Below are 1,306 nucleotides of genomic sequence, written 5' to 3'. Positions count from 1 at the left end.
ACTGCACTCCAGCCTGGACAACAGAGCAAAACCCTGTCTCTAAAAAGAAAAAAAATTTAAAAAAGGAAATGCAAATTAAAGCCACCATGAAATATCACTACACACCTATCAGAATGGCTAAAATAAAAAACAGTGAAAATACAAATATTGGCTAGGATGCAGAGAAACTGGATTACTCTACGCTGCTGATGGGAGTGTAAAATGGCGCAGCTACCCTGGAAAGCAGTTTGGTGGTTTCTTAAAAGTCTAAACATACACTTACCATACGACCCAGCAATCGTACTTCTGGGCACTTAGCCCAGAGAAATGCAAACATATCCACACAAAAAACTGTACATGACCATTCATAGCAGCTTTATTTGTAATAGTCCCAAACTGGAAACATTCAAAATGTCTTACAATAGGTGAATGGTTAAGTGAACTTTGTATATCTATACCACGGAATACCACTCAGCTTTATTGCGGAGTATTTCATTTTTATTAATGAATGAAATACTGAGACACACAAGAATTCAAATGACTCTCACGGACATTATACTGAACAACAACAAAAAAATCCAATCTCCAAAGGTCACATACTTTATAATTCCATTTATAAAACATTCTCAAAATGACAAAAATACAGAGATGCTGAACAAATTAGTGGTTGCCAGGGACTCGGGATGGTGGGAATAGCATGAGGGAGATATTTGTGGTAACAGAATAGTTCTGTGTCTTTATGGCAGTGGTTACATGAATTTACACAGGTGATTAAAGGACAGAATTATGCACGTACATGGTCTCAATGTTATTTTCCTGCTTTTGATATTGCACTATAGTTATGTAAGATACAACCATTGGATGAAACTGGGTGAAGAGTACACAGGACTTCTCTGCACTAATGTTGCAACTCCTTGACAATCTATAATTATTTAAAAAGAAAACATTAAAATTAATAACAACAGTATCAGATTATTATCCACAGTTGAAAGAAGAATCCTTGAGTCTATACTGATATAAATGAATACATACATAAATAAATGAGAGGAAGGAGGCTCTTACCTATAGAAGGATTCCAACTAATAAATATAGAAGGGATGTTGGAATTGGAAGAATCACCACCTGACAACCACCATAGCAATAACTGTTTCAGGCAAGAACTATCAATGGATGCTAAAATGAGTGGGCAAATGTATGATAAGAAACAGAATATTTATATAATCTCAAAGTGTCTTCTCACAAGACACTGGTTATTTTACGAAAGGAAAGAGAGCAACTGCAGTGGAGAAACCTGGCAATACCCTTAACCAAGTTATCCAAGTTAACA

Source organism: Homo sapiens, chromosome 15 (genome assembly GCF_000001405.40).
Source record: "Homo sapiens chromosome 15, GRCh38.p14 Primary Assembly".
Taxonomy (NCBI): Eukaryota; Metazoa; Chordata; class Mammalia; order Primates; family Hominidae; genus Homo; species Homo sapiens.
Note: the sequence above shows the minus strand (reverse complement) of the source record.